Source organism: Homo sapiens, chromosome 7, assembly GCF_000001405.40.
Source record: "Homo sapiens chromosome 7, GRCh38.p14 Primary Assembly".
In the NCBI taxonomy this organism is placed as follows: Eukaryota; Metazoa; Chordata; class Mammalia; order Primates; family Hominidae; genus Homo; species Homo sapiens.
In genome coordinates this window covers 155,254,761-155,282,470 of record NC_000007.14, presented here as the reverse complement: position 1 = coordinate 155,282,470, position 27,710 = coordinate 155,254,761, and the positions used below count along the sequence as shown (strand labels likewise).

The window sequence follows — 27,710 nt, the reverse complement described above, 5'->3', positions numbered from 1 at the left end:
CTGAATGGGTCGCATTGGAGGCTGACACCTGGCTGCAGGTAAAACAGGTTACACTGGAGGCTGTCTCCTCTTGCTTAGAAGTAGAGGTCATCTGTTCCTGCAGAGAAGTCACATGGCACCCACACACCCCAACTCCTAATGGTTCTCTCCCTTTGGGTGTGACCCCCTGGCCAGAGAACAACAATGCCCCAGTGCGTGGGGAAGGGTGAGCCTGGTCTCTTTTCTTAACCCTTAACGTGTAGACATGTTTACACCCAACACTCTCGTATCTGAGGAGGAAATTACTCCAATACTTAATTAAACTACTAAGTTAACAATTTCAAAGATTTTACTTAGTGCAAAAAAGAAAGAAGAACTTCATTAGCCAGATTCAACTGTTATTTAGCAAAATTTAATACACAGTGAAAGCAAGCTAAATCTAGCCTCAATGAAGTGACCTATTCTGTTTATTAATAGCACTGTCTTACTTTAAAACTGCGAGTAACAAAAGCAAGCTGAACTAATTTTGTGTTGATACACTTTATTATCACTAGTATTGTGTGTTGAGATCACAGCGATGGCTATGACAAATGAGGTGATGAAATGTCATCCCATTCCACACCGAGTCTACAACTAAGGATCCAAGCATAAGAAACACTTGGAAAATTCTGGGTTCTCCAAAGTGGACGGGGGCATGGTTTAGTGTGCCAGACGTCAGAAGCCTACCTGTGGGCTGCTCCAAATGTGGTCCTGGTATGGAGGTCCAGCGTGTGGACCTTTTATCATTGCACTGCTGCTGAGTGAGTCGCATTGGAGGCTGACACCTGGCTGCAGGTAAAACAGGTTACACTGGAGGCTGTCTCCTCTTGCTTAGAAGTAGAGGTCATCTGTTCCTGCAGAGAAGTCACATGGCACCCACACACCCCAACTCCTAATGGTTCTCTCCCTGTGGGTGTGACCCTCTGGCCAGAGAAGGTCCACACCCTGTGGGGTCACTGAGAAGGCAGAACCTGGGGCCCCACTCAGACCCTGGCACCGGAACCGAATGTCAGTAGTCTGGTGATTCGTGCATACATTAACCTTTGAGAGCTTTGCTTTCGATGGAACTTGATAAATATTCCTTGAAGATGCTGAATTTACCACTCTTTGTCTTTTTTATGTAATGAGGAGCCAACTGCTATCAAAAGAGGCTTGTTATCCTCAACAATGCTGAACAATTACTACATGTTTTTGGTAAGTATGATGTTGTAGTAGGCACTTTTGAAAAAAAAGAGGAACACATTTTTTTTCCTTCCCAAATAGGCTGAGTTAAAATAATTAACTGGCCTCTTACACAGGGGAGGGAGATTTCAAAAAGCCTCTTCAAAAAAGAAGCCTTCATCTAATTCCTTTAAGTTAACGAAAGTCAGAAATTTAGGAACCAGCAGAAACAGGTTTTGAAGGTGCAAGAAAGAGAGGATTACTGAGAGAATGCGGTGTCTTAGGATGGGTGGTATGGAGTCACAGGCTTCTCCAGACCGGAAAATAAAATAAAATAATGAAATAAAAGTCTGCAACTTGGGGTGGGGTGGAGGAAACTAGAGCAGCAGAGTAAGAAGTGGAGGAAATTCTTTGTCTCACAGCCCCATCAGACTGAGTCAGTGCTGAGAACCTGTGTCAAGGAAAAGGAAAGTGGCTCCTGTGATTAATTCGACAGGCGTCACCAGAGATGGGGCTGGGGGTGGGGAGGGCTGCCACCCGCTGTGGGGGAGACCCTGAGGTGAACGCAGGCTTCTCCCCAGACCTGCACACGTCCCTGCAGATAAGAGTGGAGAAAGCTCATGTCTCTGGGAAAGATACAAATTCTTGTTTCAGGTAATGCAGACTCACAGGCAGCCCTGCTGGGCGCCCAGTGTCCCCTGCTGGGAGCTCCACACTCACTCCACAGTGCACGCATCTACACAGCAAGACCTCACTTGGGGTTGTCCATAGGTTCTTGGAAACTGTGACTTTAGGTGAAACGACACATATCAAACATCAATTTCTCCGGAGGCTAATTGATATAAACAAGAGTTACATTCCTATGGTATAGTTCTGGCCACAAAAACATCACCAAAGAAGCACACTTCTAATACGAAACACTGAAATACATGTGAGCTCTACGTGCATTTAAGAAGGTAAGATCGCCCTGTCTGGGAAGTGAGGAGCACCTCTGCCCGGCCCCTGCATTGTCTGGGATGCGAGGAGCGCCTCTGCCCAGCCGCTGTGCAACCCTCCAAGTGTGAAGTGACAGCCTTGTGTGTGATCTTTCTGCCCTCCCCAAGTTTGCATTTTCGACATTAAAGTTTACTTTTTAATTAAGTTTTAAATTGGAGAATATACATTTAAAGTAAAAAAAAAAAAAGTAAGATCATTACCCAATTTCTGGTGAATCTATGAGTGACCAGGTCGTGGAGGGGCTGCGTTAAATCAAAAATAATGTTGGCCAAGCCAAAGCTCTGAAGTGCCTCCCCCTATCATGTGGTTTCAAAACAAACAAGAGCCAATTCTCAGCCCGCTGGGCCTTTCCTACTGCATCTGGTATTGTCCTGCATCTCTGTGTGAATACCGTATGCTTTACGAATTTTTATTTGACAAAATTTGTATCCTTTCATTTTCCAACCTGCTTATTCCAGTTCAGGGTGGCAGGGGGCTGAGCCCATCCAGGCAGCTCAGGACCAAGGCGGGCAACCGTCCTGGAGAGGACGGCATCCCATGGCAGGGCACAGTCACACTCACACTCACTCAGATGGGGATGTGCCAGTGAGCCTCATGTGCACAGCTTTGGGATGTGGGAGGAACCCGGGGTACCTGGAGGAAACCCACAGCACATGGGGAGGACATGCAGGCTCCACACAGACAGTGGCCCCTCTGGGGATCAATTATTTTTTCTCATCCATGTTATAACTACCTTATCACTAAATGATGTTGAATGAAGGACTTTAGTGAGAAGTGTGCCCTCGCCCATCTGTGACACTGCGGCTGGCTTTCCTAAGGGCTTGCTTATGAATCTGCTGTCTCTGGTCATTTCATCTTTCTGTGTGCAGGCAAGTTGCTGATTTTTATTTTCTGAAATAACTTCTAGAATCAGAGTGAGGTCCGTAGTACCTTGCTAGTGCACCCTGGCTTCAGATTAAAATGTATTGACTGCAAGAATGTAAGACCATTCCCTGGCTTTATAAATAATACTCTGTTTCAAATGTTTCTCTTACTGGACATGAACTTCAGAACCAGCTTGGGATCAACCACATCACGTTCAGAGACAAGCCTCCCAAATGCTGCGTGATGGGGAAGCTGACCGCCCTTTGCAACCATTCTTGACTGAGAGCCATGGGTGGGGCTCGCCGTGGGTGCTGTGAGAGCCGCACCCTGGGCGGAGGTTTCCAGGGCTTCAGCTGCAAAGTGCTAGGAAGACTCAAAGGGTAGGGCCTGAAAGCCCCTCTGAGAGGCAGCAACACAAACCCAGGGGAGGGCTCTGTGCGGACTTATATACTCGTGCCTCTGCTTAATTCATCTAGAACCCCTATGGCTGTTTACATAACAACTATAACACTTCATGCGGCTTATATGTATGTGGAGGTAACACATAGGCCACTAGGAAGGGGGACAGTGGTAGATGGACCTTTTTTAGGTGCAAAGTTCTTGGCTTTATGTGAAGTGAAGCAGTGTTAACTAAATAGGCTGGGGCAAGCTAAGGATGTACATTGCCATCACTAAAGCAACCACTGAAACAAAAGTGCAAAAGAAGATATAGATTATGATGGGGTGGTACAAAAGTGTTGGAAATAAACGGTGGTGATGGTTGCACAACATTGTGAATGCATGCAGTGCTACTGAATTATACAGTTTATCCACGGTTTTCACCATTTGGGAAGTTTTATGTCATATATGTTTTGACATGATAAAAGAAAAATTACAAAACATAGCTTAAAAAGCCGATAAATAGAAAGCCAATAGGTAAATAAAAATGGGATTGTAAAAAAATCAGTCAACTCAAAAGAAGGCAAAAAAGGAAGAAAACAGCAACAACAACAATGAAACTGAGGGACAAACAGAAAGCAAATCTCCGAATGGAAGACCCTGAGCCATAAGGAAGATCACATTATATGCACTGGATTCCACTTTCCAAAGAGAAGGCAGAGATACTCAGAGTGGATAAAAATGCAAGACGCAGTGCTACGCAGAGAAGCTGAAAGAAAAGATGGAAAAGGCAAACCACGCAAACAGCAGTGGGAAGAAGGCTGGAGGGGCTTTGTGAATATCAGATAAGATCCCTGAAGACGGAGCGTTACCAGAGACAATGAGGGATGTTCATAATCATGAAACGGTGTGTTTACCAGGAAGACATAACAGACATAACAACCAACAATGTATATAAGCCCAGTAACAGAGTTTCAGAATCATGAAGCAAGCCTCAACAGCGATGAGGGAGAAGCAGGCAGACCCTGGGCCAACTTCCTCGGAGGGCTGCCGGGTGCACAGGGCTGGGGTGTTAGTACAGGGGTCCTAGTCGACACCCAGCTATGCACGCTCTGCAGAACTGTCTACAAACCAAGAGAAAACCCCTTTTCCCCTGCTGTGATCAGAAATCCTGACTTTAATTCCAGTTGCAGTGTGTGTGGCAGAATGTGGCCCGTGAGTCAGAGGTTCTGAGTTCCGGTTGTGACTTGGCCACTCAATTCGTGACCTGGAATAAGTCATACACTTCGTTGAACTACAGTTTCCTTAAAAGTCAGTAGACAGTTTAAAAAGTCATCAGATAATGTTTAGGACCATTTCCACCTCCAGGAATTGGATACTCATTCTGGGCTTTGGATATTTTAACCATTTTTACAAAAAGGTATGAGGTATACAGTTTTATTGCATAAAGTCTTTGAAGAATTATCTAAGTAAAACCATTTCCCTTGAAAGCATATTGAGGAAATTTGAATAAGGCTGGAAATATTTTCATAATCTTGTGCTTGCGTAGGAAACACACTAAGTCCTTTTGTGCGGAACTTAACATCTGTGGCAGCTAGATTCCCTCACTAGCTTACCCGCTCCCCACCCTCTTCGTGGAATTGTTGTAACCATAGAAAGTAAATCCAGGTACAAAGCACTGGCTCCGCCTTCAAGCACCTTTGGGAAGTGGTTTCATCTCCAGTGCCTCAGTGCTCCCGTGATTGAGTAAAGGGAGAAAGGAGTCATCCCCAGCTCACAGAACAGTCCTGCGGCCCGGGGAGGCAGTGCCTGCAGACAGCCTGGAGACCCCGGAACCTGCTCGGCCCTCCCCTCCTGCTAGCTTTCTGCAGTTCCCCATCCCCCATTCTGCCTTCTCTCAAGGTAAAATTGTGGTTACAGCAATTAAAGGTATTCAAACACAGCAGAGCAGATTTACTCGATCAGCTGTGATGGCTTTGCAGGCACCAGGTCCTTCAAGGCGAGGCTGGAGGGTGCGGACTGTCCTCCCTGCTGGGTTTGGAAGGCTTCCCTGTTCCTGTCCTCTCTGGTCATGACCTGTGGTGACTGCGTCAGGAGTATTTGTTTGGCTCAGCATTATTGATTTATCCTGCAGTATTCCTTTCCCGAACTGAGAGAGGTCCAACAGCAGCAAGTTAAAGAAAGTCAACCTTTTGGGATATGGCCAAGGAGGCCCTCTTCCCAGAGATTTGGGCTTCACCGGCCACTGCAAGTAGCCTGCAGGGTTGTCATTTTGGATGGCTGTGGGGCAGTACACTTGGAGGCAGGTGGCTGTCTGCAATCCCCTCAGCTTCTTTGAACATGTGTTAAGATACGGTGGCATCTGCAAGTGGAAGCTGATGCTCAAACCGAATCGTGCCTTCACAGCCCCTGGGGCCTCGGTACCCAGATTCTGCAGGTGAGCAGGTCAGGAGTGGGGCCCAGGCTTCTGCATTTCCAGCAAGCTCCAAGGTGAGGCTGAAGCTGTGGGCCTGTGGACCCCACTTTGAGAAGTGGGCTTTAAGGAAACCCGTGTCACAAATGACGCAACCTGCCTTGTGTGTTTTCTTTGTCTCCCATGAGAACGTGAGCACGATTTCAGTCAGCATAGACTTCTACGGAAAAACATTCATTCAGAAACATACATCATGCTGTCTCCTCTCCGCCTCCTCTCCCTTTTCCCTGGATCTCTTTCCTTCAGACGTTGGTAAGCCAGTTTGGGAGACGATTTTAAAAATCCTTATCTGTAATGTATTTCCTTGTGAACTGGGAAATCAGGAGAGCCCTTGAACCATGGAGCATCTGCATCATGTGACGTGCTTATGACAGAAGATAATCAAACACTCCGTCGGCACATTATTGGGCTAGACGCTGCATCCGATGCTCAGTTTCTGCTCTCAGGGAGCTCACTTAAAGGAATCGCTTCAGGAAACGCTTAGTGATCATAAGGCATTAAATATTAGGATAGATGTGTGCCCAGTTTCCTATGTACTGTGATATGTTACTAAGCAAAAATTTGATTTAATTAGCTTTTATTAATTTAAAATTGTGTTTCTAGAAATGAGGCTCGAGAGAACTGCGACATTATCCGTGGTGCAGCTCAACTGCCCTACCCTGGTCTCCTTGGAAGGAGACAGTTTTTCCCACTCATGGTTGCTACCACACTTTTTTTTTTTTTTCAAGACAGGGTCTTACTCTGTTGCCTGGGGTCGTAGTGCAGTGGCGCAATTTCGACTCACTGCAACCTCAACCTCCCAGGCTCAGGTCATCCTCCCACCTCAGCCCCCCCAGTAGCTGGGACTACAGGCGTGCATCACCACACCTGGCTAATTTTTGTATCCTTTATAGTGACGGGGTCTTGCCATGGTGCCCAGGCTGGTTTCAAACTTCTGGGCTCAAGCAGTCTGCCCGCCTCGGCCTCCCAAAATGCTTTGATTACAGGCGTGCACCACTGAGCCTGGCCTGCTACTACACTTCTTTTGATTCTTACAAGCTCATTAACTGGTATTAGTAATATTTGTGAACCTCCCTGCTGAACTATAAATCCTTTGAAGGCTGAATTTATGTCCTAGTCATCTTTGGGTTGCCCACCATACCTGGCACAAAAAGGTGCTCAAAATTCCTCCTTCAATGATGCTCACTACTCCCTGGAGCTTGGAGTTGCTTTGCTCCAAACCAGTGTTAGGTGGGGCCAACTGGACCACAGGAATGGGAGACAGACAGGATTCCTCTTTCCCTTTCCATAGTCCTTCAGGCCCAGGATTTGAGGGCTGATGATGTGTTCATAGATCGATGCCCCAAATTTGAATGCTTTCTCAGTGGACAGGTCTTTGACATGCTGGTTGTTGCAGGCAGGGAAGCATTGGTTGGCACAGATGGAGGCACATAGGACTCCAGGCGTGGGGTTTGATGTCAACAACACAGTGGTGTTTGGTGTCAGTGACTGCCTTGCAACACAGATGTTACTGACATTTTAACAAAGTGTTCTCTCTTCCTAACCTCAACTGAGAAAAGCAAAATACTGATTTATTTTCCAAAGCTTTGAGTGTTCCAGAACATATTTGCTGGCATAGGATCAACTTCTGTTGTCTTGATTCTATATCGAGTGTCATCAATTTAAAAGCTCGTTTTTGTTTAGAAGAAAGAAGGGAAAGACCAAGTGGAAAAACTCACTGTTCCACCTGAAATGTTGTTTGGGAGGGAAAGCAAAAAAAAGTTTCTCAATCTTTCTGGCACTTTTAGCTCTCAAAAATATTTTTTTCCTCCTTCCAGCCAGCTTGGGATTCTCTCCAGGGCTGAATCCATTCATGTGCTTTAAGAAATAATCTTAGCAGGAGTTTACATGTTTAAAAAGTAAACTTAGGAAACCTTTTTTTCTAATGAAATGCTAACTGACACCTGTTTCGTAAATGATCCACATACCCACATTCCCCAGCCCTCCTGCCACCATTTTATTTGTTTATTTTTTGTAGAGGCGGGTTTCTCACTATATTGCCCAGGCTGGTCTCAAACTCCTGGGCTCAAGTGATCCTTCCACCTCAGCCTCCTAAAGTGCTGGGATTACAGGTGTGAGCCACCGTGCCTGGCCGATCATTTTCTCAACTTGCCTTATGACCTCATCCAGACCCTCTTTCATGAATAAGGGAGGTGCAGCCTTTGACCAGGGTTCCTTCTGCAAATATTTCTGCCCATTCTCAGGGAAGATGTACCTGTTCCAGGACCCCTCCCTGCTGCCGGCTGGGCTTCTCACCCTCAAAAGGCCTCTCACCCCACACCTCACCAAGCCCACCCCTGTCTTAACTCCTGAAAACACAGCACACCCAGGTTTTCACAGATAAGACATTTTTACTGAGAGTTTATGGGAAATTGAAAGGAATTACATTGTGAAAAAGAAAATATAAGCTGAGGAGTTTATGGGAAATTGAAAGGAATTACATTGTGAAAAAGAAAACATAAGCTGAGGAGTTTATGGGAAATTGAAAGGAATTACATTGCGAAAAAGAAAACATAAGCTGAGGAGCAAAAAAAAAAAAAAAAAAAAGGCAAGACTTTGGGCATTCTCCCCCGGCCCTGGACCCTTGAAGCTCACCTGGCCTCTTTCCCCCAATCAATATGACACTGGACTGTGGTTTGAATGTGTCTCCCAAAGCTCATATGTTGGAAACCTAAGCCCCAGGGCAACGTTGTTGAGAGGTGGAACATTTAAGAGGTGATTAGGTCATAAGACGTTACCCTTGAGATTGGATTAATGTCCTCATCAAGAGAGTGGATTCAGCCCTGGGGGAGTGTGTATGCTACGTGGGAGTGAGTTCGTTATAAAAGCCAGTTCAGCTCCCTCTCTCCATCTCTCTCTTATGCCCTCTTGCCTTCTGCCTTCTGCCTTCTGCTCGTGGGATGATGCAGCAAGAAGGCCCCCAAAAATCATGAGACCCTCAGCCTTGGACTTCCCAGCCCTCAGAGCTGTAAGAAACAAATCTCTGTTTTTTATAAATTACCCAGTCCTAGATATTCTGTTAGAACAGCATAAAACAAACTATGACACACAGTCAGGGTGGGGGCAGCCTTCCACATCCTCAGGCAGAGCGGATAGGCCCCCGGAGCCTCCATCTCTCCATTGCAGAGGGTAAGCTGAGCTTCAGCGTTGAGTAACCGAGGAACCATGCACGGTCCTCCCTGGTCCACCCCTGTCCATTCCCCACAAAGGTCAGACTTTTTACAGTAGGAATTCTGCTTTAACAGTGATACCAGCTGAACCAGAAGCCAATGGCAGCTTGAAACAGCAGCTTGCTCCTGTATCTGAGGATTCTGTGGTCCCGAATCAGCACGTGTCACAGGTAGAGCCGAGCTAGGAAAGAGCTGCTCTGGTCAGAGGGGCGGGGTGACCAGAACGTGCACCATCCAGGCCTCCTCCAAGATACTCCAAGGACCTCAGCCCACTCCCTCGCGGCAGGGAGCAACCCCCTCCTCTGTTGTTGACCAGGTGCAAGTTTATATCATTTTTAACAAGCACTATTAATTGGCTCGTGCTATTTTTCACAGCCAATCTTTAATCACATTTGTCAACATACTGTGCCTCATCCCTCACTTTGGGTTGTTGCTTATTTTGGTCAAATGCATCCTTTGTTATTTCAGAGAGCAGCCATAGGTGATAAACCCTCAGGGTTTTCAGACGTCTGAAAATCTTTTTAGTCTTGCCATCACGTGCGTGCGAATTCAGCTGGGTGCAACATTAGGGGCTTGTAGCTATTTCCCCTCACATCTCTGAATACATTATGTTGTCATCTTTTTGTTCCTATGGACAGGAATTCAGTCTAATTTTGTTCCTTTGTAGTAATCTATTTTTCTTCCTCTCATAGTGTTTAAGAAATCTTTTCATTTTGAGATAGCTTTAGATTTACAGAAAAGTTGAAAAGATATGTCTTCGGTTTCCCCTGATGTTATCTTTTTTTTTTTTTTTTTTCTGAGATAGGATCTAGCTCTATCACCCAGGCTGGAGTGCAGTAGCACAATCATGGCTCACTGCAGCCTCGACCTCCAAGACTCAGGTGATCCTCCTACCTCAGCCTCCTAAGTAGCTGAGACTACAGGTGCATGCCACCACGCTCAGCTAATTTTTAAAAGATTTTTTGTAGAGATGAGGTCTCACTATATTGCCCAGGCTAGTCTTGAGCTCCTAGGCTCACGTGATCCTCCTAAAGTGCTGTGATGAGAGGCATGACCCACTGCGACATAGCACATTTGTTAAAACTATGAAGCCAATATTGGTGCATGCGGTCATCTGCACTCTAGGCAGTGTTTGGGTTGCCCGGATTTTTCTGTTCCAGGATTCCGTCCAGGAGGAGTCCTGTGTCTCCCTGGTCACCTCTGCTCTGGGGCAGGTGCTTGGGCTTCCCTTGTGTTTCAGGACCTTGGCAGTTTTCAGGAGGACAGGGCAGGTGTGTCATAGAATGTCCTGCAACTGGGAGTGTCTGACATTTCTCTCACCGTTAGACTGGGGTTGTGGGAGTTTTGAAAACTACAGAGGTGAGGTTCCCTCTCATCCCCCAGTATCCAGGGGTCCTGGTACCCACAACATCAATCCCGGCTGAACCTGGCCTTTACCACTTGGGAAGGCAGCGTTTGGCAGAGTCCCCACTGTGAACTGTAAAGTCACTACTGGCTCTTCCCGGACTCCATGATGTGGAAGGGACTCTCAGTCCTGCCCACACCCAAAATGGGGGCTCGCCTTGGCCTCCCAGAAGTGCTGGGATTACGTGTGGGAGCCGCGACACCTGGCCAACTTTTCCATTTGAATGAAGTATAGCTTTATCATTTCCTTTGAGAGTGGGATCGATTGTTAATTCATTTTTTCTTTAAGACAGGAATGTATTCACTCTTGAAAAAGGTTTTACACCTCTTTACACTGAGAGGTTTACCTTTTTGACCTTGTTACGTAAAGTAAGAAAAATAAGTTCATTCAAGAAAGTTTTAAATAAATCCATATCTGATAGAAAACTGAATATCTGGAGTGCAGCCTTAGCCTCCGTAATGACATCATATTCTTCTAAGAAATATCCCCTGGGACTCCCATCAAAGACAGAATGATGGTTTTGACCCAGTGTGACATTTGTTTTATTTTGTCCTTTTGATTTCTGACACTGTAAGTACATCCATAATCCATTGAGGGATAAGGACACTTACATACTTTGCTGAAAAAATAAATATCATGAAATTACCTTAAAATTATTTCTATAATTGCTCTCTTCTATGATGATCATTGAAGGCCAATTCTGTTGCTATAAAAACTCTACTGATACATTATTCTCCATGTGTGTATTGGGGTTGATAATCAATGAGATCAAAAGTCAGGCCTATCAGTGGAAGAAACTGATAAGAAATTGTGGCTTCCTCTGTTCCTTGTCACCCTGTGTTTTTCTGGCATTATTTACATTTACACCAAATCGTGCAGGTGGAACTCTTTTTTTGTGGTTGAGAAATACATTAAGTTGCTACAATTCAAGAAGTTTCTTCTGGGTTTGTCAGAACGGATGTTTTGCAATGACAAGAGAAAAGTTTTTCTCACCTGAATGATGAGTGGAAAATAGTGGCTGTTTATGTGGGACTGTACCTGGTGACACTCGACATTATGTTTAATTTCTTTATTTTTATTGTTGAGGCAGAGTTGTGCTCTTGTCATCCAGGCTGGAGTGCAATGTCACAATCTTGGCTCACTGCAACCTCCGCCTCCTGGATTCAAACGATTCTCCTGCCTCAGCCTCCTGAGTAGCTGAAAAGACAGGCACCCATCACTACGCCCAGCTAATTTTTGTATTTTTAGTAGAAATGGGGTTTCACCATGTTGGCCAGGCTGGTCTCGAACTCCTGACCTCAGAAGATCCACCCACCTCGGCCTCTCGAAGTGCTGGGATTATAGGTATGAGTCACTGTGCTCGGCTTATGTTTAATTTCTATAGATGTGACACATTTGGGTGCCAGTGGTCCCACCTGCAGATCGCGGGTCATTTGCATTTGCTGCCACCCCTACTGCAAAATGACCTCTGCTTTTGTTTCCCTGCCCTGCCCTTCACTCCTGGTGCCGTCACGTGGAGATGTTTGGAGGAGACCGAGAGTGTGCTGTCGGCACGCATCGTCCGTGAAGCAATGGGGCAGAGTTCATCCCTTACTTCAACCTATGCATCGCTGTTTTGTGCATCGTCATAAAAACAACACATTCCAAATGCACTGTCATGGGCTTGGAAGGAAAATAATAAAGAAAACAAACCCCAAATGAAATTGCACAATGTCTAGAGTGTCTTCAGTGCGTTTTCTTCTGCCTTAAAAAACCAACCAAACAAAAGCGACCTACTTGAGACCATACAATGAGGCAGACACTGGATGTTTAGCTCCCAGCCCCTGACCCCCCTGCCGGCCTGGCAAGGTGAATCTTGGGGATATACAGACCTCCCAGCTGCCCTGGTTGCTGGGTGCAGGTGCAGGACCCAGACTCAGCCAACAGCACACACAGCCAGCTCTAAAGTGGAAGCTGGTGGCACAAGGCAAAAGGCCAGCATCCTTGGCTTCGGAGGTGGCTTCATCCCCTCTTCAGGAGCAGTGGGTCAGTGGCACTGGGCCCGTGTCCAGTCCTGACCTGTGCTGGCCCTGGAGCTGCAGTATTGCTGCCCCCCAGGCCCCTGGCTGGGCTCCTGGTCCTGCTGCTGCTCGGCCTCTCCCTCGTTTCTGACTCACGTCTGAGCCGGGTTCTCCAGCAGTTCTGTGAATTACTCCCAATATGAGATTTTCAATTAGTCTCATATTGGCTTAAATCTGCTGGAGTCAGTTTCTGTTGCTTGCAGCTAAGAACCTGCCTGATGGACATAACAGAGACAGTTTCAGGACCTGAACTTCTCATTTAACTGCATGTCTTCATTAGCTTGGATTTTTCTCTCGTCAGAGCTTCCTCGTGTGAACACTTTGGTTCATTCTTCCTTACTATTTATCATTGCAAGCACATATATGGGCCTTGCTCTGTGCCAGGCACAACCCTAAATTCTCAGTGTATGTTAGCTCCACTCTGCACAATGCAACCAAGTGGGTTCTGTTATCATTGGCACCGTACAGACCACAAAACCGATACGCATTGTAAAAAGGGGCCCACTTGGAAAGGGGTGAGAAGAAAAACAACAGTTCCCTCCCCATTCTCTAACCCCACCTTTGTATCAAACCTAAAGTAGACATAATTTTACATCAGCCTCTTCCAGCAGAAAACAGAATGGATCCAATTCAGGCTTCCACTGCTAAGTGCAAACCCAGCACTTTGGGTTGAAACTCTTCTGGATGTAAAGTTTGGATTTCTTTCATAGGAAAGTTATGAATGAGGTCACAATGGAGCCAGCTCCAGTGTCTACTGCAGCTCCTGCCCCAGTTCCTGTTGGTGGAAGCTGTGATCTCAGCCTGGGTAGAAAGATGAGAGGCCAGGGCAGGGGGTGGTGGAGATGTCATGGGATGAGGCATCAGGAGACCAGGCTGGGTCTTGATCTGCTATCCTTGCTGTGTGACTATGGAGAGGCCCTTTTCCCCTCTGGCCGAGGTGCCTGTATTAGTCTGTTCTCACAATGTTAATAAAGACATACCCAAGACTGGGTAACTTATAAAGGAAAGAGGTTTAATTGACATGTCTGGGGAGGCCTCGCAATCATGGCAGAAGGCAAAGGAGGAGCAAAGTCACATCTTACATGGTGGCAGCAAGAGAGCGTGTGCAGGGGAACTCCCCTCTATAAAACCATTAGATCCCATAAGACTGATTCCCTACCATGAGAATGGTGTGAGGGGAACCAACCCCTTGATTCAATTATCTCCACCTGGCCCCACCCTCGACATGTGGGGGTTATTATAATTCAAGGTGAGATTTGGGTGGGGACCCAGCTAAACCATATCTGTGCCTTATTTCTCAAATGAAGAATTTGGACAGTTATTCACTCGCTTGTTCCTGAGCAGACATGGTTTGAGCAGTTGCTATATGCCAGGAGCTCTTTGGGTCCTGGTCACACCTGCAGGGCCACGTGCTCCCAGTGCTCTCCCCTGCAGATGCCGCCCCCCGCCCCCTACAGTCCTTAGGATTAGCACCACCCAGTCCTGTGAGCAACCAAAAGCCGTTGGCAGCAGTGTCCAACACAGCCGGAACAACATGGAACCTTGCAGGGCCCAGGAGGCTCCCGGCAGAAAACGATGACCTCACGATGGGGGTGGGCGTGTCTAATTAAAAAGCCTGTTGTCACATGGTGAAACCCCATCTCTAATAAAAATACAAAAATTAGCCGGGTGTGGTGGCACGTGCCTGTAATCCCAGCTACTTGGAAGGCTGAGGCAGGAGAATCGCTTGAACTCGGAAAGTGGAGGTTGCAGTGAGCTGAAATCACGCCATTGCACTCCAGCCTGGAGAGGGAGCGAGACTGTCTCAAAAACAAACAAACAAACAAACAAAAAACCAAAACACCTGTCGTCATGTATCGTGCTTATCAATTCTAAGATGCATGCTGCTTCTCCTCCCGACATCTCTGTTAGGTTCCGTCTTCCTCTTAGGTTCCATTTTACTCTTGAAGGGACCTCACGGTTTAGTTGCCAGCATTTTTTTCTTCCCTGTTAGTGCATAAAACAATGGTACAGCTTATAGTTTACAGCATCTGAGAGGAGGTTGGATGTCAAACAAAATCAGGAAGCGAGGGAGAAGACCATCATTGTGGGCTGTGCTGATAGAAACGCCGTCAGACCTGCCCGAGATGCGGTGGTTCAGCCCATGCCAGGGAGAAGATGCCGCGTGGCCACGGAGGCAGAGATGGCGGAGAGGCAGCTGCAGCTGGGAAAGGGTTGCGGGAGCAAGTCTCGTCTCAAGACCGTCTGCTCCCCGAGGCTCCGTGGAGGAAGCGTGGCCCTGCTGGCGCCTTGGTTTTGGAGTTCGGGCCTCCAGGACTGTGAGGACGTGCGTTTCAGTTGTGTTGAGCCTCCCATTCGTGGTTGGTTGTTACAGTGGCCCTGGGAAGCAAATTCGCTTGCTAAGTGCAAAATCTGATGCAGACCCCGTGGGAGCACGGAGAGGCTCAACCCGTCTGCCTGCCAGCTTTGACCCTGCATGTACTCACGTGTGCCCAGCACACGTGTTCCTGGGACCTGTGCCTCCCAGTCCCTCCTACAGGGCCTACCCGTAAGGCCCTCTGTTGAGACCCATAGGATCCAGCATCGCCTTCCTAAGGGTTCTCTATCTCCACAGTGCCCCCAGAGCCCCTGTTGCTTAGTGGTTCAGTAGAACCATTGAGTAACACGGCTTTCCTTCTTATGCATAGCGCTCTGCCCAGGAGACTGGCCCTTCCAGGACAGAAGGCCCATCTTCCCAATGTTTTGGGGAGTTAGGGGAGGAGCTCAGGGTGGGGATAGGAATCCATCCAGGGCTTTCATCATAGAAGGTGGGTGGGGTCTGCCCAGGTGCTGACCACACTGCGGGGGGCCCACCCTTTCTTTCCCAGCAGCTCTCTGGGTCCCGGCAAGGAAAGGAGGGCTTGCTTCAGTGGGTGGTTGAGGAGGATTGAACAAAGCAGGTTTATTATATTAAAAAAAAAAAGGTGGGAGGGACTAAGGGATGCCAGCACAGGAAGAAGAAGCATCCAGGAGCTGTTCCCACCCCAGGCCAGATGTGGAGGGAGCTGTAGCCGTCACTCTGTGCTCAGCTCGAGCTGCCGTGGTCAGAGCAGGACCACCGGAAAGGAGTGCTGGCTTCCTGGAAAGGAGCACCTCCACGGCTGCCTCGGCCAGGGAGGGAACTGGACACTAGCCTCATGTTTCTCCAACCTCCAGCTGCCCCTCCCAGCTTCTGCTGTGACTGAATCCACCTGGAGGCCAGAGGATAGGGAAGCCCATGGATGCCGGCCATAGAGGCCAGGGCCTTGGGGCACAGAGCCAGCGGAGGTGAGTGGACAGTGGAGCAGAGGGCAGTGGAGTGCATGCAGCCTCTGCCGTCACTAGGCAGTTTGCTTTCCTTCTGACACCTGCCAGTCACCTCACAGTTTCAACAGGGCTGCTGAACGCCAGGCATCAAGCACATGTTCCAGCCAGTGACAGGAGGGGAAGGCAGGGAGACAAAGGCCGCCAGCAGACCTCCACTTCCAACTCACGAGCCGGAAATGGGTCCATAGTTTTTCCTCTTAGGGCAATAGCATGGGAGGCCATTGATTCCCAGAGACGTTCCCAATGTTAGGCCACCCACCAGGGGCCTAAGAAGTGAAAAGTCGATCAGTCCTGCTCAGAGGAAGTGGATAGTAAATAAACAATAAGGAAGTCTTTGCACAGAAACCTAGGCTTGTGTTGCTGTATTAGACACCACAAACATCGCAAAGTGAAACAGAGAGCATTTGTGATCTTCAACTGCAATCTGAGCTGGATTTTACAATGAGGAAGTTGTGATAAGTTGTCCTTGTTATTCTGCAGGATCTCGTAAGGAGGCCACTTGCATTCAGAATCTGTCAAAGGACCATTTTCAAAGCAGAGCTTAAAGCGGCATCACTAGCACGTCTCACACAACACAGAAGTCCTGGGGTCGAGGCCTGGGCGCAGTCTCTGCTCTCCGTGAATTCAGTCAACGAGGCTTTGCCTGTCCTTGCCGGTGCCCTGGGGAGATGCAGCGGAACGGGCTGCCTCTCCTCGTTCTGTGGGAGCTCACAACCGTGTTTGGCACACGCAGGTCAGCCAGGGTGAAGGGTGAAGTGTGAGCAGGAGGAGGAACAAGCCGAGGGCTGCAAGAGGAAGAAGAGGGCGGTCACTGAAAGGGCCACGGAGCTGTGCCCCAAGGTCCTGTTGGTTCTGAGTTCAGGCACTGCTGGCAGCCAGGAGGGCTCACAGCCCTGGGGCACAGGGGCGAGGTAGTGATGCAACTGCCTGGCAGGTGCCTTGGGTGGAGACGAGTGCCCCCATCTCAGTCATCATGACTTCTTTATTCATGAGCTCCAAATATTATTTTCCTGGCCAACCACAACTCCTGGTCAGGCTGGGGGTGGTCAACTTTCTTTTGCCTCATTTAAACGCACAGTGCTGCTCCTCAAGTCAACAACCTCTCTTCAGACTCTGCAGTGAGTTTAAGGGGCATGTATGCATGTGTGTGCGTAAGTGTATGCATGTTTATGCCTGTGCTCACACGTGTGTGCCTGTTTATGGGTGTGTGCATGCACATGTGGGTGTGTGCATGTGTGTCTATATGTGTATATACATGTGGGGGTGTGTGCATGTAATGCTTGTATATACCTATGTGTGCACACATGGCGTGTGTGTGTGCATGTGTGAATGGATGTGTCCTGGACCGAGACAATGATCGTGCTTAAGTAGTTGTACCTGAGCACAGAGTGACTAGAATTGGGAAATTTCTACGATCCCAATTGTATTCTGACTTATGATCCTAACACTAACTCCCATCCAGGGAAGCTGAGAAGGAAACTCTGAAGTCAGTTGCATATCTAACCTCCCCCTACCCTGTGCCCCCACACCACTGCTGCATTCAAAGCTGCCTCACCATCTTCCCAGCCCACATGGCCTTCCTGGTTCTTACCTGTGAACCTGCTGTTTCTCTCTGCTCGAAAAGCCTCCAGAGTCACACAGAATGCATCTTTCTTCATGCAGCGCGAGGTTCTTGAATAGCCAAAATGCCCAAGCATGATGCAAAGCCCTTTTAAGAGTTATTTATCATTAAACCTCACATTGATCTTAAGAAACAGGAAGATACGGTTGAGGGTACAGGCTCAGAAAGGTTAAGTGATTTGCCCAAGGCCACATGAAGGACCTGAATCAAGGTTTTCTGGCTCCAAATTCAGAGCGTTCTGTTATACTCTCCTAGTTTTATTGATCATGGTACTGCGCAAGACTTTTCAGGAGAGTTTGGTCATCTCCCATGATGCCAACTCCAGAAGATTAGGAGTGGGCCCCTGTGCGAACAGGAGGTTGTTCTGGGGTCCATGAGAGGCGGCGGTCACACTTCCTAACACGTTCAGCTGACGCTGGTGCAAATAGGACAAAGGAGGGGCTCTCACCCCAAACATTCCAGTCAGGGGGACGGAACTTGGTGTAAGTGAGGGGATATGGGGGCAGCAGGGAGCCCAACCTTGCCAGGAGAGCTCAGAAGAGGTCTCATGGTGTGTGTGTGTGTGTGTGTGTGAGAGAGAGAGAGAGAGAAGAAAGTTGAAGAGTGAAAGCCCATAGTTGCTTAAGGCAGGAGAACTGATGGGTGAACTTTGCTATTATTTGCTACACTCTGGGAAAGTGTTTTATTCTTAGCCCATGTCTCTTCCCAGCATGCACACACTCACACTCATACGCTCACACACTAACAGATACACACACTCAGACATACTCCCACACTAACACTCAGACACATACTAACACTCAGACACCCACTCACACTCACACACACTCCCACACACTAACACTGAGACACACACACTAACCCTCAGACACACACTCACACACTAAATGCAGACACACACACACTAACTCTCAGACACACATACACAGTCACACATACTCAGACACATACACATACACTCAGACACACGCGAACACGCAGACACACACACTCACACTAACACTCAGACACACATACGCAGTCACATATACTCAGACACACATACTTACACTCAGACACACAAACTCCCACGCACTCACACACACACTAACACTCAGACACACATACACAGTCACACATACACTCAGACACACACACACTAACAGTCATACTCCCACACACTCACACACTTGCTCACTTGTACCCACTTCCCTCCCTGCTCTCGCCTGCCTGGTTGAGGGGTCCACAGCCACGCAAGACCACCCCACGCCACTGCGGGGCGCCAGGCATCAGCTTTCTGAGCCCTGAGTGGGGTCCGGTCCTCTCCCCTTGGGCTTTTTGGTTTTGGTCTTAGAAATGTTCGGGGAGCCATGGGGGTCATCCTGTGCCCTCCTCCTGGTCTGTTCACCAAGCTCAAGAGGGAAGACAAGTGATCAGAAATCCGCAGATAGTGAGCAACAGCGGGAAAGGACTCACCAGGAAGGAGGCAGCCAAGAAAGAGCAGTGAGTGGAGAGGCAACATGTGCCACGGCGCACCCCGAGGGGAGGATGCACCCTCCAGCGAAGGCTGCACCCCCAGGGAAGGGCTCACCCTTGAGTGAAGGCTGCACCCCGAGGGAAGGGTTCACCCCAAAGCTGCACCCAGAGGGAAGTGCTCACCCTGAGGGAAGGGCGCACCCCAAGGGAAAGTTTCACCCCGAGGGAAGGGCTCACCCCTAGGGAAGGGCGCACCCTGTGGTAAGGGCTCAACCCGAGGGAAGGGCTCACCCCGAGCAAAGGCTGCACCCAGAGGGAAGTGCTCACCCCGAGGGAAGGGTGCACCCCAAGGGAAAGATTCACCCCGAGGGAAGGGCTCACCCCAGGGAAGGGCTCACCCCTAGGGAAGGGCTCACCCCGAGGGAAGGGCGTGGCTGTGTGGCCCAGTCACCACCTTGATTAGAGGCTCCTCATCTGGACCTCTGCAGAGAAAGGGGGCCGACAGTAAGCATTTTATTTCATTTTTGGTTTTTGTTTGTTTGTTTTGAGACAGGGTCCTTCTCTGCTGCCCAGGCTGGAGTGCAGTGGTGCAATCTTGGCTCACTGCAGTTTCAACTTCCCAGCTTCAAGCAATCCACCCACCTCAGCCTCCCAAGTAGCTGTGACCAGAGGCATGTGCCACCATGTTCAGCTAATTTTTTAAATTTTTTGTGGAGACAGGGTTTCGTCATGTTGCTCAGACTGGTTTTGAACTCCTGACCTCAAGCCTTCTGCCCGCCTCAGCCTCCCAAAGTGCTGGGATTAGAGGTGTGAGCCACCGCACCCAGCTAAATTGTAAACATTTTCAGTGTGAAGGAATTAGTTTACATTAAAGATGTTTCCTATGGTTGGTGATTTTGGAGGGTGATTTGGGCTAAGGCTGATGGGAAGGGGAGGGCCGTGAAAGTGGCACCCCATTGACAGACGGTGTTGGCAGGCTGGTCTGCAGGTCTTCCGGTCTCTGTCAAACATCCACAGACAAGACAGAGCAACATGGAGAGGTCCAGGCCCACATGGAGATGCATTTATCTAGCATTTTCTCCTTAAGCAGAAAAGATGAGCTCGCAAAAAAAAAAAAACCAGCACGACATTGACCTTGAAATTCCATCATTATTGTAATTGATCACAAGTCAGCTGATCACTAGGCAACTCCGCTTTCATCACCAACTGTGCAAGGCCAGGAAATCCACACGTGCCCTCCTCCTTGTGTGGTAGACGGCCGCCAAGATCGCATTCTTTAGATCACGCCGAAAAATCTCTGCTGACATTTTCATGTCAAACAGGAGTATGTGCTTACGGAGGAAAGAACCACTTACGGTTCTCAGTGGGAGGTGGCAGAACACAGCTCTGGGTAACTGAAGCAGAAAAGGAATTGTTAAAAGAGTATTTAAATATTCCTTTAAATTATTAAAGCGATTATTAAAAGAATTATATATTGTCTAGCTCAAGGAATGGAGGTGGCGTGGGGAGGAGAACGAGTTTCCTAGCCTACCACAGCGAGAAAGATGCTGGGAAAAAGGACACTGGGACCCGCTCAGGGAAGTCTCTACCACCAGCACTACTGGCTGCACACACAGAAGGGACCTCAGGCTAGAGGCTGCAGGCTGCCGCTAGACCTGCTGACACCTCTGCCCATGGGAACGGCGTGGCCATCCAGGGTGGTGTCTGAGCCGTCTGAGTTCTGGGAGTCACTAGCTTCCCGGCAGGGTAGGCTTGCAGCTAGGCTCATGGGTGCGAGTGCCCCTGTGGGCAAAGCGAGTGCTGGCCTCTGCACTTTCTGAATGTAGTGTAGCTACGTTCAGATCCTGTGTCACGAGTTGGAGGATTCACCAAACACTGGGAAGGATTTCAGATGCCTGGTGGCCAAAAAAAGGATGGCAATGTCCACTGTGGCAGAAAAGCTCTCTGGAAGTCCAGGAACCACTGCTGGAAAGCTGCTGTTTAGGAGCTGGGTCAGTGCAAGAATGAGAGGGCGCCCTGTGTGGCTGCAGGTGACACATTCAGGGCACAGCCAGGGAACACAGTCCAGCCAGATCAAATGGCCTGGCCCAGAGCACCATTATTAAGTTTTACTATGGAATTGTGCTTGTGAAGTAAAGGGCGTTCTAGACCGTGTTGGGAATATGCACTGAACACAGAAGAATACGCTAAACTGAAATACTGTAGGCTGCTGTGACCAACCTTTTCTGGGAATGTGCAGAATGTACAGAACTTGAGACCTTAAAGTGAGGGCAACTGATGCTCTCGTCATCCTGGAAGCCGGAAGTTTGAAGTCAAGGTGTCGGCAGGGCAGGCTCCCTCCGAGGGTGGGAGGGAGAGTCTGTTCCAGGCCTCTCTACTGGCATACTATGGTGGCTTGGTGTCTTTGGTGTTCCTTGGCTGTGGACATGTCACCCCCAGCCCTGCCTCTGTCCTCTGGGGTCTTCTCCCTGAGAGTCTATGTCTTCACAGGGTGTGGCATCTTCTGTCTGGAAAACAGGTTATCTGCTTCCCAAATGCCATGGTGGGACAGGCAGAAGAAAGCCAGTCCCCTTCCAAAGGGGAGAAACTGGAGGGAAGACGCTGTCTCGGGTCCTAAGCAACACCCCAGCCCCACAGGGCAGGTTCCACTGGGTTCAGGGCCTGCGGTGACTGTGTGGCGTGTGCTCTGTGCCCTGCACCCCTGCACCAGGCTGGAGTCGAGGCTGAGATTCACAGCAGGGCACAGCCTGAAGGAGCCACTGAGCCGTCTGCGAAGACACAATGTCAACAGTGGAACGGTCTGGGCCCCCTTCTGAGGAATAAAGACCGCAGCCTCCAGCCAGGAAGCAGGAGACTTGTTAACTCTGACTCCAGACATCACGTCCAGGGAAAACGAGGCTGGCGGAAAGGTTTCATCCTGATATTCTACAATCAAACTTCCTGACCACCGACGCACAGAGACGATGATGACACTTGTAGTTTAGGCTATAACCGAGAGGACACCGGTCCTCAAGATTTAGGGGAGTGGAGAGCAGGGATAGCAGATGCGTGTCCTGAGTGCCAAGCATCGGTCAGGATAAAGCTAAGCTGCTGAAACCTGAAAACGTGGGTGCTGCTCGCTGACAAGACAGCTCCTGGGGGCCGGCCCGGGTCAGGGGTGCAGGCCCAGGCTGCCGTCCAGGGACCCAGGTTCTCCTGGGCTGGGATCTGCCACTTTCAGGGCAGAGTCCTCCTTGTGGCCCACTGTGGCTCCTGCTGGCTGGAGGGGGAGAGTGGAAGGAGGTGCTAACTGCATGGAGGCTGCCCCAACCTCATCCCCATGGACGAGGGCAGGAGTCTGGGTGGAGAGCTTGCAGCCACTGTTATGCAGACCCTGCTGGCTGCTGCACTGGTCACATAGTAGTAGGTACTTTGTGAACACATGATTGCTCATAAATCAAAGCACAGCAGAGGCCAGCCCTCATCACAACGGAGCAGGTGGCCTCCTCCAGCCCACGCTGCACTTACTGCCTCTGGGAGGCTCTGTCCTGTGATTCTGTGGAGTGGCAGTCGGCAGCTCAGTACTTCCTGCACTGGGCTTGCTGGCCACACATCCCAAAAGCAGGGGCCTGAGGGCATGAGCAGGAAGGACATTGAGGAAAATGCAAAGGACCTGAGAACAGGCTGGGGACACGGGTCACTAGGTGATTGCATTACCCGGAACCTAGTCCAGCGATGCCTCCTTTAGGTCAGAGAAGGGTTCCCAGGGCCAGGGAGTGTTTACAAGAAAACTCCCTTGGCAATGAGCCTATACTATAACTTGGGGATATGATTTTGGCACCGTGAACCCAAACCAAGCTATGGGTAGATGGGGATGTGGTAGGGCCCCACTGTTCACCTGGCAGTTCAGATGAGCTCCTTGGCCATCATCCTGTAATAAGACTGATGGCATGGAAACAGACGGTGTTGCATCACTGAGAAAAGATTAGGATGGCTCTCATGAGGACCCAGGTCCATACGTATCACCAATTGAGAGACTTGCTGACGGCCCTCAGACAACAGCAGGGTGCCCATCCCCATCTGTCCTCACCCATCCCTCAGCCTCCACACGGCCCAGGTGTGACACCCTGAGTTTGCAACGAAACAAGGAAAGGAAAATCAGTGACCTGGACACTCAGCTCTTAGGATATTGTCCTTATAGTGGTTATATCTACATATGCGTGTGCTGCATGCATCTCCAGAGCTCTGTTGTGTGAGTACACACACATCCACACACACACAGAGAAGAGAGAGAGACACAGAGAGACAGAGAGAGAGAGAGGAGGAGGAAGAAGAAGGAGGAGGAGGAGGGGAGGAGGAGGAGGAGGGGAGGAGGAGGAGGAGGGAAGGAGGAGGAGGAGGGAAGGAGGAGGAGGAGGGAAGGAGGAGGAGGAGGGAAGGAGGAGGAGGAGGAGGGGAGGAGGAGGAGGAGGGGAGGAGGAGGAGGAGGAGGAGAAGAAAGAAGTCCAGAAACATATTCATGTAAATTTAGGCTGTGTTTCTTCCTGGAGGTATATTGAAAGAACAAGTCTACAAAAATTATATACATATAGGCCGGGCATGGTGGCTCACGCCTGTAATCCCAGCACTTTGGGAGGCCGAGGCAGGTGGATCGCAAGGTCAGGAGATTGAGACCACCCTGGCTAACACGGTGAAACCCCATCTCTACTGAAAATACAAAACATTAGCCGGGCATGGTGGTGGGTGCCTGTAGTCCCAGCTACTCGGGAGGCTGAGGCAGGAGAATGGCGTGAACCCAGGAGGTGGAGCTTGCAGTGAGCCAAGATCGCGCCTCTGTACTCCAGCCTGGGCGACAGAGCGAGCCTCCGTCTCAAAAAAAAAAAAATTATATACATATAAAACAAGGCTTTAATCCCTTACAATGCCATTGCATTACTTTTGTAATCAGAAAAAATATAATTGTGGTACAAATCAAAGTTTAGGTTGAAATATTCATGTCATTGGGATTATTTTCCAGCTTGAATTCATCCACATGATGTCTTCCACTGGATCTTCACCCTGGGCAGGCCCAGTGTTACTCATGCGTGTGGTTGGAAGGAGCCCAAAGAATGTGCCTACTCTGAAATAGTTGCTACCACCAGGCCTGGTAAGGGCCTGACATTCACAGCCTTAGGGACTGTCTTTGAGATTAGGGCATAGTGTCTCTCTCCAAGATCACGACTACAAAGCAAAACCATGCCACATGTCCCCTGCAGGGACGGCTCCCTGGGGAGGCCTTGGGAGCACAGTGGCACAGCCAGATGGAGACAGACCTGGAAGTGACCTGGGGAGGGCAGGGGCTCGAGCCAGTGGGAGACCGTGGGGGTGGGTAGGAGGCAAGATGGGGACAGCCTGAGGCGAGATGGCCGCGACTGCTCAGGCCGAATGAGGACACATCAGGAGCGAGGATCCTAGGAGGGTCTCATAGGACGAGCCTCCTGTGTGTGGCTGGGTGTGGACGGCTGAGTCCCTTGGCCACCAGCCACGTGTGGGATCAGCCCAGCCGGCCTCTGGGTCGTGTCTGTGCATCTCAGTGGATCATCGGTGGGAGCTTTCCGGGGAGGCAGAGGGGCTCTTCCTGGACAGTGCCGCCAGATTCCCCCACCACCGAGCGGCATGCCATGGCTCGGCTTGCTCCTCACAGCCTCGCCCCAGCTCTGTGGCTGGATCCGTGCTTGTGGCTAAGCCTCTTGGCAGCTCCGCCTGGATTGCTTTCAAGTCCGCACTGCCGCTCCTCCCTCTGAGTCTGTGAACGTCTCAGGGGACCTTCCACACAGTTTATAATATTGTCCCTCCTCTAGGCTTACCCTGGTCAACTTTCCCCAAGTCGGCGTGTGCCTACTTCCCACAGAAGTTTACAGAAGCCGGAAGTCCCGTCAGGGTATTAGGAGGAAGCCTGCATGTGGCGGATTTAGCCTCCTGGCCTCCTTGTCAATGGTCAGGATCAAGTTCTCCATCTCCCGTGCCAAGGAAAATACAGGCTTTGGATATGAGAGATTTTAGATGTGCTCAGCTTAGTCCCAGGCTTCTTTTTACTCAAGGACATTTCCTGGTACTTTGACCTTGCCAGGCGCTTCCAATTACTTTGTTTAATTATTTTCTTCTATTTTTCTGGGTCTAGGAGCGTGGGAGTTCTTTGATGTGGCTTAACCTGGTGTGTAGAAGCCACTGGTGCAATGGCTAATGATGCTTATTTGAGGCAAGTGTTTTCTAAATTCTCAAGGTTTCCTTTTTTACACGTAAAATTCTGACCTTGAGGAAGTTGGGGACTTTTCTGTCATTTAGGCCAACACTGAGCAATTAACTTTTTAACAATCCCAGGGCTTTGCATCTTTGTTTTTTCACTTTGATTCTTTTATGTCTAACAGTGGGAAAAGGTAGCATCTGAAACAAATTAATATGTGGCCCAGGGGCAATTCGAAACAATCTGGGCAAAAGTCCAATCATATTAGCTGCAGCATCAGAAGCTGGAGTGACCCTTGACTATGGACACAATTCCTATCTGTGCTGGGAGAGGCCTTTCAAAAAAAACCCCCGAACCTTTTAGGTTTTCAAGAGTAGATAATAGTAGCAGTAGGTTCTTTCTACCCTACTCCGAAGTCATTCCATTTCCATCTGGATTCCTTAGCACTTGTGTCCATCTCTGGGCTACACGGGTGCTTTTCTGTGCTCTCCTGTCATTTTCCATGCGCACAGAAAGTGGGTAAAGTAGTAACGCAGGCATAAACCGGAGTTATCGTCTTGTCCCTCATGACATGATAAGCCTCGTGAACTCAGAGACTGTGGACATTTAATCTCTGCACACAACACCAAGCATAACAGCTCACTCACGAACCCTGTGATGCTGGATATGGGGTCTGCTCGGTCCTCCCCCTTGCCCCAGGCCTGCTAGGGACAGTTTGTTTTTGCTGGATCATCTGCAGGCTCTCGCCATGCAAAGCCAGTGTCTTAGCTCAGGCTGCCGTGGCAAAATACCACAGACTGGGAGTTTCCACAACAGACAGTCATGTCCCCCAGTTCTGGAGGCTGGGAGTCTGAGATCGGGGTGCCAGCAGGTCAGGGTCTTCCTGGGCTGCAGACGGCCACCCTCTCACTGTGTCCTTACGTGGCAGGAGAGCAAGTCCTCTGGCCTCTTCTCATGAGGGCACTCGTCCCAGCACGAGGGTTGTATCACCAGGATTGCACCGAACCCTGATTATCTCCTGACGTCCCCATGTCCAAGCCCATCACACTGGGGGTTAGGACTTCAACATGCAAATTTTGGGGGGTGGGGGCGGCACTAACACTGAACTCATAACAACCAGTAGAATGGACTGGAGCTGTGTGGCCTCCGTGGCAGTCCTCAGCCACTTGCGGCTTTTGAGAATGTGGCCAGTCCAAATGGAGACATGCTGTCAAGTGGAAGAGGCACACGGCGTTTCGAAGGCTGCTTAGAAAAAAAAAGTAATGTATCTTATAAGTAATTCATTGATATTTTGGATGTACTCGGTTAAAGCATAATATTAAGTTTCATCCTTCTTTTACTTTTTACAAATGTGTCTATGAGATAATTTCGACTCACACATGTGGCTGGTGACGCATTTCCTTTTTAAGAAATGCATATGTTTAAGGGTGGACGTGATTTTTAACATTTATGACCTGCTGTGTTGATATCCATAGACATGGTGATTAAGACAGTCAGGCAAGTTCTCAAATCCATCACCGCCCGGTCCTCCTCCTCCTCCTCCTCCTCTTCTTCCTCTTCTTCCTCCTCTTCCCCTTCTTCTTCCCCTCCCCCTCCCTCTCCCCCTTCCCCTTCCCCTTTCCCCTTCTTCTTCTTCTTCTTCTTCTTCCTCTTCCTCTTCCTCTTCTTCTTCTTTTTCTTCATCATTTTGGTGGTAAGAGAGTCTAAAATCTACTCTCCTGGTGAAGTCCCGGGGTGTGCTGCAGTGCTGTGAACTGCGATCTTCCTGCGAGCCAGCCTCTGGACTGATTCCTCCTACCTCACTGCGACTCTCTCCCCTTGACCTGCATCTCCCCATTTCTCTGGAGCCTCCCTGGTAACCCCCATCCCATCTGCTTCTGTATAGCTGGGAATGTTTTCCTCTGGGCGGGGAAATAGAAGAGCCCAGAGGGACGGGGCTGGGGAGGAGCTGGGGGCCTTGCTTATGACTGGCTCAAGCAGGGCCGCTGTGGGCACAGGGCGCTGGAAAGGCCAAGGCAGAGGTCCTAGAGAAATGCGGCTCCTGGTTAGGAGCACCAGAGGTTAGGATTCCTTTTCAATGATGTTTAGTTTCTGGATTTGAGTCTCTGAATGGGACCTTATGCAGCGAATGAGCCACAAGGAGCCGCTTTTACTTGCCTCACACACGGTATTCATGAAGATCTTCACTCAGCGCAGCATCCCTGAAGGAACGGGAAAACAAGGTTATCACAAATATGAAGGCACTGATGGTAAATTCAGTTCTTGCAGGCATAGAACTTTCTCCATCCATTGAAGCTCCCCGGAGATTGTGGTATGGAATAGAGGAGAGGAAGTTAAAATGAGACGTGGCCTTCCTGGGTCTCACGTTACTCCCGTGGAGCATCCAACTCTTGTCTAGGCTTGAGCGTTGGCCGGGGTTGGGGAGTAGAACCTCAGACCCACCATATTTTTTAGCCTGGGGGCTGGGAAAAGGGAATAGGAAGTCATAGCTGTCTCATCCTACTCAATCTTACTGCCCTTTGT

At 49.3% G+C, this 27,710-nt stretch overlaps 2 long non-coding RNA genes across 4 annotated transcripts, besides 1 other annotated feature; one reads left to right on the top strand and one right to left on the bottom strand.

Annotated features, from left to right (window-relative positions):
* Nucleotides 11,990-12,490: an enhancer, noted in NCBI's record as "H3K4me1 hESC enhancer chr7:155061691-155062191 (GRCh37/hg19 assembly coordinates)". NCBI's record gives its function as "activates a minimal SCP1, AML or CMV promoter by ChIP-STARR-seq in primed H9 embryonic stem cells {active_cell/tissue: H9 hESC(primed)}" and the evidence as "EXISTENCE:reporter gene assay evidence [ECO:0000049][PMID:30033119]".
* On the bottom strand, nucleotides 14,418-15,270 carry LOC105375589 (uncharacterized). The gene is made up of 3 exons (NR_187968.1): nucleotides 15,111-15,270; nucleotides 14,682-14,943; nucleotides 14,418-14,550 (listed from the first exon to the last, which is right to left on the bottom strand). It is a non-coding gene; the product is annotated as an uncharacterized LOC105375589 (long non-coding RNA).
* Nucleotides 15,271-15,791: 521 nt separating this feature from the next.
* On the top strand, nucleotides 15,792-19,578 carry LOC105375588 (uncharacterized). Of its 3 annotated transcripts, XR_928227.3 has the most exons (5): nucleotides 15,792-15,870; nucleotides 16,390-17,027; nucleotides 17,786-18,012; nucleotides 18,864-19,012; nucleotides 19,539-19,578. It is a non-coding gene; the product is annotated as an uncharacterized LOC105375588 (long non-coding RNA). The 3 variants fall into 3 exon arrangements; XR_007060610.1 differs by lacking the exon at nucleotides 17,786-18,012 and having other exon boundaries at nucleotides 18,922-19,012; XR_007060609.1 differs by lacking the exon at nucleotides 17,786-18,012.
* Nucleotides 19,579-27,710: the final 8,132 nt, after the last annotated feature.